The 18,554-nt window shown below is 33.9% G+C and overlaps 1 annotated feature.

Moving 5' to 3' along the window:
- Positions 1,064–1,133: an enhancer, noted in NCBI's record as "active region_24838". NCBI's record gives its function as "activates an Ori minimal core promoter by ATAC-STARR-seq in GM12878 lymphoblastoid cells {active_cell/tissue: GM12878}" and the evidence as "EXISTENCE:reporter gene assay evidence [ECO:0000049][PMID:35858748]".

The following is an 18,554-nucleotide window of genomic DNA, read 5'->3' on the forward strand; positions in this document are numbered from 1 at the left end:
CATTCTCCCTGTCACTTTCAGGTACACCAGTCAAACATAGGTTTGGTCTTTTCACATAATCCCATATTCTTGGAGGCTTTGTTCATTCCTTTTCATTCTTTTTTCTCTAATCTTGTCTTCTTGCTTTATTTCATTAGGTTGATTTTCAATCTCTGATATTCTTTCTTCTGCGTGATCGATTTGGCCATTGATACTTGTGTATGCTTCACGAAGTTCTTGTGCTGTTTTTCAGCTCCATCAGGTCATTTATGTTCCCCTCTAAACTGGTTATTCTAGTTAGCAATTCCTCTAACCTTTTATCAAGGTTCTTAGCTTCCTTGCATTGGGCTAGAACATGCTGTTTTAGCTTGGAGGAGTATGTTATTACCCACTTTCTGAAGCCTACTTCTGTCAATTCATCAATCTCATGCTCCATCCAGTTTTGCTCCCTTGCTGGTGAGGAGTTGTGATACTTTGGAGCAGAAGAGGCATTCTGGTTTTTGGAATTTTCAGCGTTTTTGCACCATTTTTTCCTCATCTTTGTGGATTTACCTACCTTTGGTGTTTGCTGTTGGTGATCTTCGGATGGAGTTTTTGCGTGGTCATCCTTTTTGTTGATATTGATGCTATTGCTTTCTGTTTGTTAGTTTTCCTTCTAACAGTCAGGCCCCTCTACTGCAGGTCTGCTGGAGTTTGCTGGGGGTTCACTCCAGACCCTGTTTGCCTGGGTATCAACACTGAAGGCTGCAGAACAGCAAAGATTGCTGCCTTCTCCTTCCTCTGGAAGCTTCGTCCCAGAGGGGCACCCACCAGACGCCAGCTGGAGCTCTCCTATATGAGGTGTCTGTGGAACTTTCCTGGGAAATGTCTCCCTCTCAGGAGGCACAGGGGTCAGGGACCCACTTGAGGAGGCAGTCTGTCCCTTAGCAGAGCTCGAGCACTGTGCTGGGAGATTTACTGCTCTTTTCAGAGCTGGCAAGCAGGAACGTGTATGTCTGCTGAAGCTGTGCCCACAGCCGCCTCATTCCACAAGGTACTCTGTCCCAGGGAGATGGGAGTTTTATCTATGAGCCCCTGACTAGGGCTGATGCTTTCTTTCATAGATGCCCTGCCCAGAGAGGAGGAATCTAGAGAGGCAGTCTGGCTACATAGACTTTGCTGAGCTGTGGTGAACCCCGCCCAGTTTGAACTTCCTGGTTGCTTTGTTTACACTGTGAGGGGAAAACCACCTACTCAAGCCTCAGTAATGGTGGATGCCCCTCCCTCCACCAAGCTGGAGTGCCCCAGTTGGACTTCAGACTGCTGTGCTGGCAGAGAGAATTTCAAGCCAGTGGATCTTAGCTTGCTGGGCTCCGTGGGGGTGGCATCTGCTGAGCAAGACCACTTGGCTCCCTGGCCTCTGTCCCCTTTCCAGGGGAGTGAATGGTTCTCTTTCACTTGGGTTCCAGGTGCCACTGGGTTATGAAATAAAACTCCTACAGCTAGCTAGTTGTCTGCCCAAACAGCCTCCCAGTTTTGTGCTTGAAACCCAGGGCCCTTGTGGTGTAGGTACCCGAGGGAATCTCCTGATCTGTGGGTTGCAAAGACCAAGGGAAAAGTGTAGTATCTGGGCCAGATAGCACTGTCCCTCACGGCAGGGTCCCTCAAGGCTTCCTTTGGCTAGGGGAAGGATTTTCTGGACCCCTTGAGCTTCCCAGGTGAAGCAACACCCCACCCTGCTTCTGCTCATCCTCCGTAGGCTGCACCCACTGTCTAACCAGTCCCAATGAGATGAGCAGGGTACCTCAATTGGAAATGCAGAAATCACCTGCCTTGTGCATTAGTCTCCCCAGGAGCTGCAGACTGGATCTTTTCCTATTTGGCCATCTTGCCTCGAGCCCTATCCTGATATTTTTATTTGGGTCTGAGTATGATGTTTCTGGTAGTGTTTAAACTTTTAGTTCTTGCTCTTCATTTTTAATAAACAGCTTTTTATCACACTCATTTTCTTTTCCCATTTGCTGTTATAAAATATACAAGTATGGTCATTTAAAAATATATATTCAGAAAAATGATGTCTTTTTAGAATGTCTGATTTCTTTGATCTTCTATTTCTCATAAATCTTTTCCATACCCCTCTTCATCATTACAAATAACAATGAAATGTTTCTGAAATTAGCAAGTTATCTACAGAATGAGATGATCTGATACAAATCAATTTTCATCTTCACAGTATTAAATGAATTAATTCACCAAGTAGCTTGCAAGATAATGAAAGCAAAATGCAAGCAAAGAAATTGAATGACCTTTAACAAGCCTCAAATAGAATTAAATGTCAAAGTCCTGAAAAGAAGTTTCCTTGTTTATTTCTAGCAGCTACATGTTTTATAGCCCAGCCACAGGATGATGGAGAGTTGCTAGATGATTCTTATAACTCAGATTTTATTTCTGGTAAAGGTTTACTATTCCTAGCAGGATGACACTATATTTTTTATTTGAATGATTTCTATCACTAAAACCCCTCAAAAATTATATTTTTTTTTCTGAAAGAGAAACTGTTTTCCTAGATATTGCTTTTATTTGATATCTATAAAAAAACACAGGTTTAAGTCAAAGTTGGTAATGACATGGGCTCCACGTGTTTTCCAACTGTAAGAAAAGGATATTTTTCTAATCACAAGTCGAATACAGTAGACGAGCTATTAAAATGCAGGAAAATCAACAGTAATTGTTCACATCAAGATGAGGTATCTTAAAAGATTAAAATTCTTATGAATCATATAAGAGAATGAAGAAAAAACAGAAACAGAAGTATCAAAAAGAAATGTAGATATTATGTGATGAGAAAAATGAAGATGGGTTCTAACATAAAATTATTAATACTCTTCCAATATACTATATTGATTGCATGCTATATAATATGTAAAGTTACTTATAACTCCATGGATTGATTTTATTCTACATTTGGAATTGTATATATCACATTTAGCTCATGTTCATTTTCAATTATAAAGAAGTAAAACAGGAAAGCAAAAGCAAAGAAACTTAAGCTAGGGCTTTACCAAACCATGCCAATGTAAAATAAATGGCTCATATACTGTTGAGTTGATTATATAGAAACATACCAGCTTCCTCTAAGTGCAATAGATCACAAAAAGAGGGAGTTGAACTAATGTCTTTAACCTCAATTCAGAGCACTAGCTAGGCATTATGTATAAACGTGGAAGAATCACCTGTTTTCCACTATAAAAGAGGATAAGAGAAGCATAGAAATTTAGGCTTTGAGTCACTAGATATCAAAAACAAAATATTATGACTATCAGTGCAGGAACAGTGTCATCTAGTTTTTGCCAGGATGTAAAGCATATCTCCTTAGACTGATATATTAGAAATGAAAAATTATGTCATTGATGATAAACACAAAAATTACAATGCATAGGCAGATAATTTAGTTTTATCTTACCTAACTGCTATGGTTTGAAAGAGTGCCCCAAAATTTATGTGTTGTAAGCTTAATTTCCAATGCAACAATGTTGGTAGGTGGGGCCTAATAAGAGGTGATTAGCTCAAGAGTGCTCTGCCCTTATGAATGGATTAATGCTGTTATTGCAGGAGTGGGTTAGTTTTAAAAATGAGTTCAGCCCTGTCTTGTTTCCTCTTGCTCTTGCCCTCTCTTGCCTTTCTACCTTTTGTCATGAGATGATGCAGTACAAAGGCCCTCACCAGATGCCAGTGTCATGCACTTAGACTTCCTAGCCTCCAGAACTGTGAGTCAAATAAATTTCTGTTTCTTTTAATAAATTAACCAGACTGTGGTATTCCATTATAGCAGTGCAAAGGGACTAAGGTACTACTTTAGCCACAGAAATTTAGAAATTCAGTCATTTCATTATATTCAAAGTATACTAGGATGGATGATATGTAGTTTAAACCCCATAAGAAATAATTTTAAATTTACAATATGTGTATATGTAAGCAAATGCCTATGGTCTTTTGTTTATTGCAGTAATTTTCTAGTTTAGATTCCTACCTAAATTCACTCTGTTAGATCTCCCTGATTATAAAAAAAAGAACAAAATATATTAAATGTTTACTATGTAAAAATCACTGTACAAGCATGTAAGAAATACAGAGATATGTATGACACAGACCTCTCCCCTTTAAGAATAGTAAAAAATTATCAATAGCATATGCACACAAAAAGCAATTATAAGAAATAATGTATAAAGTCATATTTATATATTAATTTATAATTGTATTCATATATTAATATATACTGATCACCTGCTTTTTTACATTGTGTAAGAATCCAACTGTCAACAATACCACTAAAGTTTTTGCTCTTGTAGTCTTTATAAATTTTGGAGTAATAAGACAGATAAGTACAAAGTAATAAGATAAATATTATAACAATGGACTTAGTGATATAACTTTCTCTTGTCATGGTTCAAGTCTGAATTTATTTTGCATATTGGATGTTAGTTATTATAAGTAAGTTAGTATGAAAAGAAAGCAATCCAGGGAGGCAATTAGCATAAGCATAGTCCCTCCTCTGGAAGTCATACCATTGAAGACTTAAAATCTTTCTGACTTGAATGTAAGCCATTTGAGTGTAATATTTGAATAGATTTATTGTTTTAAACCTTTATTTTTTGTAAATGCTACCTCAGTCAGCACCAGAAGTACTGTACACTACTACTTGGACATAGTAGGTGCTCAATACATTTCTATCAGTTTATTAATGTATATTCTCACCTATATATCTATTCTTAAATCTTTGCTTGCATCTTCAGATAGAAGTGATTTCTAAAGGCAGATTTGCATGAGTGAAATACTCCTGAATCTGACTTTTGGTTTATATGAGCTTCAATTTCCATATCAACACAATGAAACACAGTAGCCCTGTACACCTTTTGCTTTACTTACACTGTCAAATATAATTTGATGGCACTCCCATATTTTAAAAGCTGATGGAAATGTTTAAGAAGAATATAGTCTTCAGCCTGAACTTTGAATTTTGCATTATCATTGTGGCAGATTTAGTAAAATTTATTACTTGATAGATATTTCAATTTTTCCAGTTCTAACATTTATATATCAGGATCAATTACAATTAAAAATATACATATTGTCAAGAAATGCCTTAGAATCTGAAAGTATTTGAGAGAAAAATGCCTTGTGTAGAAAAATTTGAAATAAATCCTTTCACATATTAGCACTCTTCCTACTTCTAAAATTGTACCTTTTCTATCCAAGGCTGATTTTTGGAGATAGGAGAATGCATTGTGTAATTCTCAGGGCTGAGAGCAAATAGAACTTTTCTTTACTAAACTCAATAAGGAGCAGGCATCTAATCTGGATATTACGTTTTTGTGTGAAGGTGCCTTTTCCCCATCTCATGCACTAGGCATTTAGTCTAACAGATGTTATTTGCAGACACTGCCTCACCACAAATAACTGTTTCAATGAGGTCAGGACCCTTTGCGTTCAACTTGTAGTCAGTGTTCTAACTGAATGGCATCTATGCTTACATCCAGCTTCAGGAGAAAACGCACATACACACACACACACACACACACACACAAGGAAAAAATCTCAACCATTCCACAAACCACATCTCCATTCTATACATCATTGTGTGGAGAAAGTTTTGGTCAGAGTGAAGCAAGGTAAATTGAAGATGACAAAATTTCCCATGTTTTCTAGTCAACAATCAAAATGTGTTGTTCTCTGCTGTATATCTGCTTGCATCATCCTACATATTTTATTTATTTTCTTATTTATTTCTAAATAACTACACCTACATTTAAATTTACAGATATGGAGCATGCTGCCTCTGGGGACGTTTAAAATACAAGAAAATAAACAGTCTTACAAAAATGCTATAAAAATCACAATGGAGCCCAATTTTCTTTCTATAGCAATGAAAGGGAGAAAAAGACACCTGAACCTGAAGAAATAAACTAAACCTTTAACCATTTTAAGTAAAGTTGTGGCTTCATGAAACTCCCTGTATTATAGAGAAAAAAATAGCTGTGTGGCCAAATAGAATGAAGAAAGACATGGTTTAGTCATGACACCAAACTTGTTAGTGCAGCACATAATAAACATGCCTATTATTATCATTATTTTATTATTACTGCTATTATTAAAATTAAAATTATTTTAATTTTTAACATTATTCATTTAAATCCCTGTATAAGTTAATTATCTTTGAAGGAGCCACAAATATTTCTTGAATTCATGTCCTATAATAATTAGGAACCAATATTTCATAATTGAATCATAATGGAAAGAACATAATAATTGACAAAAAATCATACATCTTCTTGTTCCAAGGTGGCATACTATACAAACTCATATATAACTATGAATATTTGACCTCTGGATGTTTTCTGGAAGAAGAGAATTTTAGAAGAATTGCCCAGGTAAATTTATTGTAAGGTTTAATAGAATAGAAGGGAGAAAATAAAAATGGCAAACATAATGTGAGGACTATAATAGTTTGGCATGCAGTAAATACATCAGTTATTATTTCTATGATTATTATTATTTTAATATCTAATCTTATTCATTAAATTTCTAGAATAGTTTAATAATTTTTCCAGCAATTTTTATCACTTATAACCCATTACATATAATAATTTTAAAACAATCTTGCCATAGTTTAATAAAAAATATAATATTAAAACTCACAAATGATTATGAATATTAGATCTCTGGATATTTCTAGTAAAAAGGACATTTTACAAAGAGAATTTGCTTAGGTTAATTTATTATACTGTGAGCAGGAAAGTTGAACAGAAATTTAAGCCTGAAACGACTTCTCCCGTGATTGTGTTCTTAAGGATGTAGTATTTGAATTTAAATTGAATTGGAGAAAACAACCACACCCACCTACAAAGATTTTTCTTTATAACTAAAATTAGACTTCTTTATAAAAAATAAGCCCTAGTCAACAAATGTTTAGAAAAATTTATCAAACTAAATATTTCTTTTTTTCAAAGAAGTAGAAAATAAATAAGTTGGAAGACTCCTAGAACTCTTGTCTCCAGTTAAAAATACTAACATTCTTATTATATTTTATGTTATTTTTTCCTTTTATAGTTACTCTAGAAATGAATTATTAAATATTCACTACTGTTTGCATTACTTACATCTTGATTTGAATAACAATTGCCATGTATGATCTTCTTGATGTTTTGTCTGTAATTATATTTTCTCATGTAAGAGAAAAGTGCAAATAAAAGACAGAAGAAACTTCATTGTGGTTTAAATGTTTCAAATGTCAGAACCAGGAAGACACCAATTATCAGCAGAATTTCAAGTTTTTCTAGCTCCAGTGTAAACGAGAACCCTGGAAACTAGTAAATAGAGAAAAATTATAAAATCTAGACAATTTTTACCAGTAATTTGGAAAACAAAGTTTTATGCTAATAACAGTAGGTATTTATTTTAAATTACTCTAGGTAATCCACTGTTCTTAACTGCAGGAAACTAGTTTCCAGTAATTAATATAGCTTTAATCATTTTCTGGAACTCCTTGTTAAGGAGTTCTTTCTAAAACTATCACATATTCAAATTTCTAATCTAGACAGTTTTTTGAGTTAACTCAAAGGAAACTTTCAGAGCAAACAAGAGGATATGGCATTAAGAATGAAATACCGTCATTTAAGTACATGTGCACGTGTGTGTATTCTGATATATACATATATATATATGCACACATTCTGATTCTGAGTGTTAATAATGTGTTGGCCATTTATGTTATTTTACTAGAGAATTTATCTGATTTCAAAGGAACTAGTGCCTTAGAAAGAAGTGATTAACAAGACAAGGATCAGAAAATATGCCTCATAATATGCACAGCTTCAGTGCTGGTTTTGTCTTCTCCAAGCCCGGTGGTCTAAAAAGAGTACTTACAGGGAATCTAGTACATATTTACTCAAAGACTGATTCATAGATCAGCAGCATAGTATAAACTACAACGCAGAACCCCAGACCCTACTCCAAAACTACTAAATCAAAATCTGCTTTCTAAAAGATCCCAGGTGAACCATATGCATGTCTTGGTGTTTCAACCAATTTAGTTGAAACAATAGTTCAAAAAGTAAGGGGGTACAAGAGTTAAGGTTGAAAATCAGGAGAACATCATGGAAGGCCTTATCTGGCATGCATAAAGATGCAAATATGAGAAATCCCGACTAATTGGACTTTCACAATGTTAATTTTGCAAAGTCAAGGTGGCATACAAGGATGATAACTTCGGGAAATTAGTTAAGATTCACTGAAATTATTTTGGCTTATTTTTCAAGGTCACACACAGCAAAATGGGTACAGACGTTCCAGGCATTGCATCAAGATGTATCATATCTTCCAATTAATCTTTCCTAAGAGTAAGAAATTTTTCCAAGAAACCCTTCAAAAGACACCCAAAGTCTCTCATTTGCCAGAACTGAGACACATGCCTATCCATAACATAACTAGTAGCTATGGAAAAAGAGATTACTATGATTGGTTTAGATAATCATATACCAATCAGCATCAGCCTCAGAAACTCAACTAGAGTTTCTTCCCCTGAGTCATACAGAGTCATGTTGAAACCTTGAAAAAATAGGTGTTTTGTTGGGATAGAAGAAGGCAAGATAAAGGTGCTAAGCACAACAGAGATATGATTAAGTCTGTTTATAAAAAATAGGGTGGAAAATATATAGTGAGTGCAAAACAGAGCAAATAATATTAAGAGGCTTGTTTAAGTGAGAAAAGTCTATGAGTTCAATCCAAGGTGGTTGTGCAAATAGAGAAAAGGGACAAATTTGAGGGATGTAATATTGAGAAGTAGATTCAAAAGGATCTAGTAACCTAGTGATTGAGTGGATATGGAAAGTGAAATGATGAGAAGGGATCTAAGAGGATTCATATTATTCTTGGCTACACAGTTTGACTATTTCCTCAAGTGCAGATATTATGACTATTTTGTTTACTGGACAATACTGAATGTCTGGCACGGTGAAATATACAATCTACTTTATCAATAAAAATTTGTTAAAGTAACAAATAAATATGGCATTAGCTGAAATCATTATTCAGATGGAGTAGAAGATCTGAAGATGAAGTGATATGCCTGTGAATCTGTGCAATGATGTTGTTCAGTGGACAATTAAAAATTCAGGTCTTGGCCGGGTACGGTGGCTCACACCTGTCTCAGCACTTTGGGGAAGCTGAAGCGAGCAAATCACTTGAGGTCAGGAGTTTGAGACCAGTTTGGCCAACATGGTGAAACTCCATCTCTACTGAAAATATAAAATTAACCTGGCATAGTGTTGGGAGCCTATAATCCCAGCTACTCGGGAGGCTGAGGCACGAGAATTCCTTGAACCCTGGAGGCAGAGGTTGCAGTGAACTGAGATCACACCACTACACTCAAACCTGAAGGACAAAGCAAGACTCCATCTCTAAATAAATAAATAAATAAATAAATAAATATAAAAATACAAGTCTTTACTATAGTCACCCTAGTGTGCAACAGAACATGAGAATTTATTCCTCTTATCTAATTGTAACTTTGTAGCTGTTGAACAACCTCTCTTTATCTTCCATTCTCCTTTCCCCTCCCCAATCTCTGATAACCACTCTTTTATTCTTTGCTTAACAGTAAAGTATGGTATATCCTCACTGCAAAGAAATTGTAAATGCATCAGCTGATGGGTATGTTAACTCTCCTTATTTGATTATTATACAACAAATATATGTATTGAAACATCAAATTATATCCCTTAAATATATACAATTACAATGTGTCAACTAAACCAAAACCAGGTAATGGGGGGATGTTTAAACTGAAGACAAAATACATGCCTAGATAATGCCTAGCTCTTTCTTCTTTACATCCTCTGTCTTTTCCTGTATCTTTCTTTCTATCCTAGTCTTTTGATAGGCATACTTTTCTACTCTACTGACAGTGGAAGTCAGGATACTTCAAGTTAGCTTAGGGGAAAAATCAGTCTCTGAATTTCATGATCCCAGACTCACAAACTTTGCATACCTTTTCAAGATAACCATGTTGTCTCATGTGAGAATAAGATAATAAGTCAGGCATGTTCCCAGAAATAAAACTCATTTCTGAATCATATTATAGGATGACCTAACACTATATTTTCTTAGAATTCTGCATTTTTTACATTGGTTCTTATTTCTGGAATGATCTTACTGCATTTGTCTTCCTATTTAATTTCTACTCAACCTTGAAGTTTTCAAATGTGTCATCTCAATTTCATGTGGAAACTTTTGTTGGGTATACTAATCCTGTGTATTATATATTATATAACCCCAAATTGTGCTAAGTACTAGAATTAAAAAATAAGATGTAATCTTTGTGTCCCAAAAATTTACCGTATTTGTTAGTATGGATAACAAAGAATCTTAATACAAGGAACATGGACAGAATCACAGATATGCATTAGATTTTATAAGAGCCAAATGGCTGCCACTCAGACTTTGTAGGGGGAACTAAATATGGTCAAAAAAAATCTAAAATAAAGTGACTTAAAATGGCGATACAATTCTAAGAAAACATGTGAGGAGTAGGGGCAATCAAGGAAATTGCAAATGCAAGCACAAGATGAAAACACATGTGCAGGGTAGGGGTATGAAGATTGAGGGTATGTTATGGAACCTCAGGCATGTTATTTTTTCTGTATATAAACGTGAGGGTTAATGCAAAGGATTGACAGAAGCTGGAAGTGGAAGTAAGCATAGTCCAGTTTTTCAAGGACATGGCATGTCAGGTTAGCTTGGAATTTATCATGTAGGGAATGAGAATTTTTTTCAGTCTTCCATTTTCCTTCCTATTCCATCAAGTTGATATCCAAACCTTTCTGATATCTTTTCTAAAATGTCACATGTGTAACACTGTTAGAACACTAATTTTTGTGCTCATTTCTCCCTACCATGTGTGGATGTTTTGTCTGAATCATTTCACTTTATTTGTATAACACAGTGCCTACATATAACAGAACTTTAAGAAATTTTTTAGTTTACCTTTCTTAGTGTATTAATAAGTGTACTTCTATAGAACTACATTTTAATGCTTAATATCTGCTTGCCGCATTACCAGATTGTTAGGCTGAGACAAGACTTGTGATTTGTAATAACAGAATTCTTTGTTCAATGTTTATATATATATATATATATATATATATATGCACACACACATACATTCACACATGTATTCCTCAACAAATGTATAGCATGAATTAAAGAAAAATGGTGCAGATAACCAACTCTGCTTTTTTAGAAGTTTTATTACATCAAGAGAAAAGCTTCATTTCCAATATTTTATATACTTATGGCGTAATTAGCTATATTTTTTCTGACTTGGAATAAAAGATAAAATTATGCAATAGCACCTTGATATCAGCTTTATTAACATTTTTATATACACTTTAAAGATCTTCCTCATACTCTAAAGGAATTAAAGTAAAAATAAATCACCATTATCACTTGCTTGAGTAATTTTGATATCATTTAATAGCCCATCTGCATAGATTTATGTTACAGAATCTATTGACCTAATATAGACATTAGGTTAACCTTCAGGTAGACTTGATAGAAAGAGCCATTAAGCATGCATGGATGGTTAAAACAGGTATACAAGCAAAGTTTATAAACCAGCACGAATGAGAAGAACCCAACCTATTAAACCGATCTCTTTCACCATCCCATCCAGCTAGCAAATACTTAATAAATTATAATCTGTGTTTTAAAATACTTTACTCAATAATTTTGCAGTACATTGCACAGGCAATAGCCATGTCAGACTATCTAAAGACTCCTGGAAAGTGTTAATTGACAGGAATCTATGCAGTTGGGAGTCTAGTCTTGAATACTGCATGGACTAGTTCTTGACCTAGCACTATATAGCCTAGAACAAAGTAAAATATCAAATTATCTTAAAACCTATTAAGTTTGGGAAGGACTTGACGGTAGAGTTTAACGTACCAAAAAAAAAAAAACCACTGTAAAGTTATATTCTGCTTTAATCTACTTTGTATAAAACTCACAAACAATAGTTTAGTGGGAAAAGAAATTGCATTTTAGGCAAAGACAGTCTTTGGTTTGAATCCCTGTTCTGTGGTTTATTATTTGGATAATGTTAGGTATATAATTTAACATCCTTATATCTTTTCTTCAAGTTTAGTTAGTAATTTTTATCTTGAAGTATTGTTGTAAGAGTTTAAAATAGTAAATAAAAGGTAAGAGAGAGGCAAAAATAGGTGCAGTGCCAAGAATATGCATGTGACCAATGATAGATTTGTAATTATATACGAACTTAGTGCCTTGGCTAACTTGGGTAGGATTTATTTTTTGAGTAGGAACCGTTAGCAGCATGTAACATATATAGAGTTCCTAGTTCTCACCGCAGCTCTGTTTCCAACTAACTGAGATTCCTTGAGAAAGTCATTTACTTTCTTTATAACTTTGGTTTCTATGCTGGAATACTGTAAGAAGAAAAATGAGAGAAAATATATAGTTTGCTCAAAATGATTTACTAGGTTTTTGTTGTTTAACTGCTCAATAATAACAATAGAACACACTTACTTGGCACTTAGGTGTTAGGCACTGTTCTAAGTATTTTATATGTGATTGATGAATTTAATCCTCAAAAAGCTTATATGAGGAAAGTACTGTGAATATCCACATATTAGATTTGTAGAAACAATTTACATGAAGCTAAGTAAATGTCCATTGTCACAAAGTTAGTGCTGGAACCAGCATTCCAATTCAAACTCCAAGGTCCATGTCTTAACCAATACACTGCACTGCCTTTTAAGTGTGCTTTGTTTCCGTAATGAATTTTAAGTCTTAGTATACTTTTTAGTATAAATTCCCAAACTGAGGATTATAATTCCTGTCAATAAATTTGTGTTTAAAATTTTTTACTTACATTACATTTTAAGAGTCATACTAGGGTAATTTCAATACTGATATTATTCATACTATTTTTCAAAATATGAAATGAACAATGTCAGATTAAATTTTGAAATGAATGTATAATTTAAGAATTATATATACACTTTTAAATCTGATTTCCAGTACACTTTAAATTTGTAAAGTTATAAAATTACAGATTCTTAACAATGAACACAAAGTCATTTATAGGATTGGCAAAGGTTTCATTTACAGAACAGATATTATTCTACATTTGCAAAATGATTTTTTTCATACAACACTTAGACATCTAACTCTAGTGCTTGTCTTCTGCCTGAAAGTAAATAGTTTAATTACTGATAAACCATAAAACAATGGAGTCTTATTTTGGCAATTTTACTCATAAAAATTCTGTATCATCTCAGTGAATGACATTGCAACTTACATCTTATATGAGAATCAAATAAAATGTATCAGTAAATTAAAAGATAAAAATATATGTTTTAAAAACACCAAATCTAATGAATGATAATGAAAGTAGGTTATGGTAGAATTGTAATAAACCACCATTTTTAAGTACATATTATCCTTTATATTCTTTAATTTTTGCTTCTTCTCCTATAAATATCCACATGGATGAAACAAAAGAGACTAAATACAATTAACCCAGAAAAGAACATGTGACCTAACAGGACCAATTGTCCTTATCTCCTCAGCAATGTTTATTTTTGTAATTTTTTTTGCAATTTTTTTTATTTCCATAGGTTATTGGGGAACAGGTGGTATTCAGTTACATAAGTAAGTTCTTTAGTGGGGATTTGTGAGATTTTGGTGCACCCATCACCACAGCAGTATCCACTGCATTCGATTTGTAGTCTTTTATCCCTCACCCCCTTCCCACCCTTTCCCAAGTCCCCAAAGTTCATTGTGTCATTCTTATGCCTTTGCATCCTCATAGCTTAGCTCTCACTTATGAGTGAAAGCATACAATGTTTGGTTTTTCATTCCTGAGTTACTTCACTTAGAAAAATAGTCTCCAATCTGATCTAAGTTGCTCCAAATGCCATTAATTCATTCCTTTTTTTATGGTTGTTTTTACTGTCCAGTATCTTCGTCAGTACTTAATATCAAGCATCCATGTTTTACTAATCCGGTGTGTATAAAATGGCATATCATTGTGTTTTAATTTGTGACTCCCTGGTTGCTAAACATCTATTCATATGTATATAAATTATTTGTATTTTCTATTCTGTTAGAATTTTTGGAAATATTTCCAGTTAGAAACATTTCTTGGTTTCAAGTGTTTCAAATATTGTTTCTTGATCTTTTCTTAATGTAAATAACTATCAATGTGGAGATACTTAGTTTATGTCATTCCTTGAGCTCTGCCTGTATTTTACTAACATATTTTTCACTTCTTTTACATGTTCAGATTACTCAAATGTAAGCTTGTTAGTAAACTGTCTTAAAAGGTGGTCAATAATTAGATCCAAAACTTTATTTACACTTAAATCTTTATTTTGAAATCAGAGAGGACTACAGTCTTATGAAAGCTACCCCTAGGTCCGGATGTGTCCACACCATACCACACTGACAATTATCTCATATATGTTAACTCAGTGTAAAATATTCATAATTGTCACTTCAAATTTTATGAATTGAGAGGCTGGTAAGTTGGAAGTGTTGTTTATAGAAATGAGGAGTTTGTAGTAGAAACAGCTTTTCTATTTTGGTGCAGGAAATACCAGGTTTGCTTTGGATGTGTTAAATAAGCTATGTGTATTAAATATCCAAGAAGTCCATATCACTCCCAGAGGAGATTTAATGAATTTGCTAGGAGTGTGTATGAGGAAGATAATATCATCGAAGTCTTAGCTCTTGGTCCTTTATTTCAGAATCCAACAAAGGAGAATGAGAATGAGTGGCCAGTAAGTAGGAAAGAATAAGCCAAATAAGATTTGAACTGAAGCTCAGCCACTGGATTTGTCAATGTAAGTGGTATCTGTATTCTTGACAAGACCTGCTTTGTGGAGGAGTATGTAGAAGGTAACATAGGGGTGGATTTAGTAGACAATAGGAATAATAAGTGGACAGAGAGAAATAGTATAGGCCTGTTTCTCAAGGAGATTTCTCTCAAGGATGGGGAACAAATGGGTCAGTAGCTAAACCAGAAGCTTGGTCAATGGCAAACACATTAAGATAGGAGCTATGTCAGTATGTTCCTTTGCTGAAAATGAATCAGGGGTGATCAATGACATAGGAGAGGGGAAAATTACTGAGGTGAAACCTGGAGAGTCAGAATTAGTCTATTAGTCTATATTAATCTTATGAATATTTATGTAAGAACCTCAGCAGATCTTAGGAACACAGGAGTTGAATAGAAGGAAAAAAAATAAAATTTATTAACTTTCATTTTTGCCATATTTGTATATTTCCAAATAAATTTTGTTGATGCTAAACAAAGTGCCATATATACAAGCCACCAAACTGAAAAATGTTTTAAAAACTAACTTTTTAATAATTTTAAGTTATTACATGTATTCTACTGGGATGATATTTTAACCTCTAATTTATCCACAAGGGGGTAAACATTGATTCTTTTGGGGGAGTGGAAAAATGATAGATAATAATTTGTTGTTCCAAAATGACCACAGTACATAAATAGATATACAGCATCTCTGTGGTACTAAAATTTAATGAAATGTGTTAGTATTTAATAAAACCAAATCCTAAAAAGTCACCTAGCAGTGATAGTAATCAAAAAAATCTAAAAATTTCCTTTGGGTGGGGGCAGTAATGAAAGAAAAACAATTGAACGACAGTGACATGTATTTTTTTTTATTCACAGATATACATGGTACAGCATATAAAATATGTACATTAGTACATTGATAAAGTCAAAGAATAACATAAACCTTAGTTTAAATGGTCAAAACAACTAAATATGGATTACTCTTGGCCTCAATCACTTAAAAAACACAGATGGCTTTGAAATGTAGAACATTTGCACCTGCTGGTGAAATGAAGTCTTCAATATATAGACTCAGTCTCTCAGCATCAGGGAATGCAAGACCACTATCTGAGAGGGTAGAGATTTGGTCAGATTTTGAGTATATATAAGATGAACCCTAGGCATGTGCCTTTCTGGTCTTCTGTGGTCACTTAACTCTGGCCATACTACTGCAAGTAAACCTCATTTTTTTTTTTCAATATGCCCTGCTCCCAAAGATGGTTTGTAAGTCTGCTGCAGTCCAGTTTACTTTGCCATCTGCCTTCTGGAAGCTGGACCCAACACTATAAACTATCCTTGTATCAACCCAATGGAATAAGATCCTGCTCTAAGCAAATTATTGATCTAGAAACAATGCAATACCAGCCACTTGAACTTTCATGTTACTTAGACCTAAAATGTCCTGCTCCCATGCTTCACTAACACACTTGATTCCCTTACATACTGGTCAAAGTTACATTAAATTATGCCTCTGACCCACTCAGATTTAAATTCTTACCGAAATCCCCATTTATACAATGATACTACAGAGCTCTCAGTACGCTTCAAATCCAGAGTATAATTAGCTGTGGCCGGACATAAACTTATGAGTAATTAAATTTCAGGAGTGAAACTTTCAAATCTATTTCTTTAATCATGTTTGTACACTTTGAATATTAGGCCATTCATAAGCATTCATTACTTGAATCTGAAAAAAGTCCATGCAAACTCATACTTTCACATTTGTTTACAGATACTAACTTCTTGCTTGCAATTTCAACAACATTGCAATCATTTTCTCCAAATTTTGTTTTTATATGCTTTTACTAATTCTTATTTTAATATTCCCCCAAAATAAGTTTTTCCTGAAATCAATCAGTTGTATTTGTTTTAACGAAATAAATATATGTATTTTTAGGCATCTCAAATTAGTCACCTTGGACTTGTTGAAAACAGTTATCACACATAAATAATTAAGAAACTGAATATAAAGTTTCATATAATAAAGCTCTCAGCATGGGAAATAGTATGAAAGTGTTTACATGTGAGAAAAAGATACCTCATTCTAATAAAGTAAAAATGTACAGAATAGATGGAAAAAAAGAATCAGATCAATAGTGTAGATAAAGAGTACTTCCATAAGATTGATTATATTTTCTTAAAAATAAAACTTAAATAAAATATAATATATGAATTAAATTTTGAATACTATCAAAGTGTAGCAAGTATTGATTTGAAATATATAGTAATGTATTTAAACATTTAATAACTTGTCATTCGAGGTAAATTTGTTTTCAATCTCATTTTATATTTTAGCTCAGAAAAGACCTTTTCACTCAAACTCCAAAGGGGAAAGAAGTCCATGTTTCTAAATCTCAAATTTGCAGTAGTATTAAACCATGTAGAATATGAAACATGAGAAATTTGTCTGAATGTATAACTTTTTCATACTATATTCAGTTGAAATGAAGTCCATGTTAGGAATAGAACATATTCTACTTGTAATGATGAATAACTGGTGTTAACAGCAGCTACAGAGGCAGAGCCATTAGAGAGATGGATGAATGTACCAGTAAGTAGAGGCACACATATCTGCTAATGGGAAGGTCACAAAGCAAACATTAACAATCGAGAACATTAATACATTCTCCCACACCAATGCTTTCTCAAGACTGACTTTTGACAGGTACAATCTGGCTCCCATATGTCTCTGTCTACACCGCGGGGTCAGTTTTTGTTCAGAACACAAACATACTTGCAAATTTGCCTTCAAGATGATAGAAACAACAGAGACAAAGTGTTAAGATTTTTGTATTTTGTATACAGTGGAACATGTCTCTTCTCTGAATAGATGAATGAGGAGACTGGTCTATGAAGTACAATAATGCCATGTTTTATTGTGCTTTGCAGATACTGTGTTTTTTACAAACTGAGGGTTTGTGGCAACCCTGTATCAAGCAGGTTTATTGGAATCATTTTTTTCCAGAAAGATGTGTTAACTTTGTGTCTCTGTGTAATATATTGGTATTTTTTGTTATTATGATGTCTATTATAGTGATCTGTGATCAGCAATCTTTGAGGTTACTAGTTTTATTTTATTGGTGACCCAAGAACTGTGTCCATATGAGACAGCAAAGTAATAAATAAATGTGTTTGTCTGACTGCTCCACCGACCAGCCATTCCCCCATCTCTCTACCTCTCCTCAGGGTTCCCTGTTCCCTAAGACACAATAATATTGAACTGAGGCCAATTAGGAACCTTACAACAGACTCTAAGTGATCAAGTAAAAGGATGAATCATGTGTGTCTTGTTTTAAATAAAAAGCTAGAAATGTTTAAGCTTAGTGAGGAACGTATGGTGAACGCTATGACAGGTCAAAAGCCAGGCCTCTTTTGCCAAACAATGAAGTTGTGAATGTGAAGAAAAACATCTTGAAGGAAATATAAAGTGCTACTTCAGTGAACACATGTATGATAAGAAAGTGAATCTGCTTTATTGCTGATATGGAGAAAGTTTTAGTGTTCTGGTTAGAAGATCAAACAAGCCACATTCCCATAAACCAAAGACTAATCCAAAGCAAGGCCCTGACACTCATTCCAATTCTATGAAGGCTGAGAGAGGTAAGTAAGCCGAAGAATAAAAGTTGGAAGCTAGCAGAAATTGGTGCATAAGGCT

This window comes from Homo sapiens, chromosome 6 (genome assembly GCF_000001405.40).
Source record: "Homo sapiens chromosome 6, GRCh38.p14 Primary Assembly".
Lineage (NCBI taxonomy): Eukaryota > Metazoa > Chordata > Mammalia > Primates > Hominidae > Homo > Homo sapiens.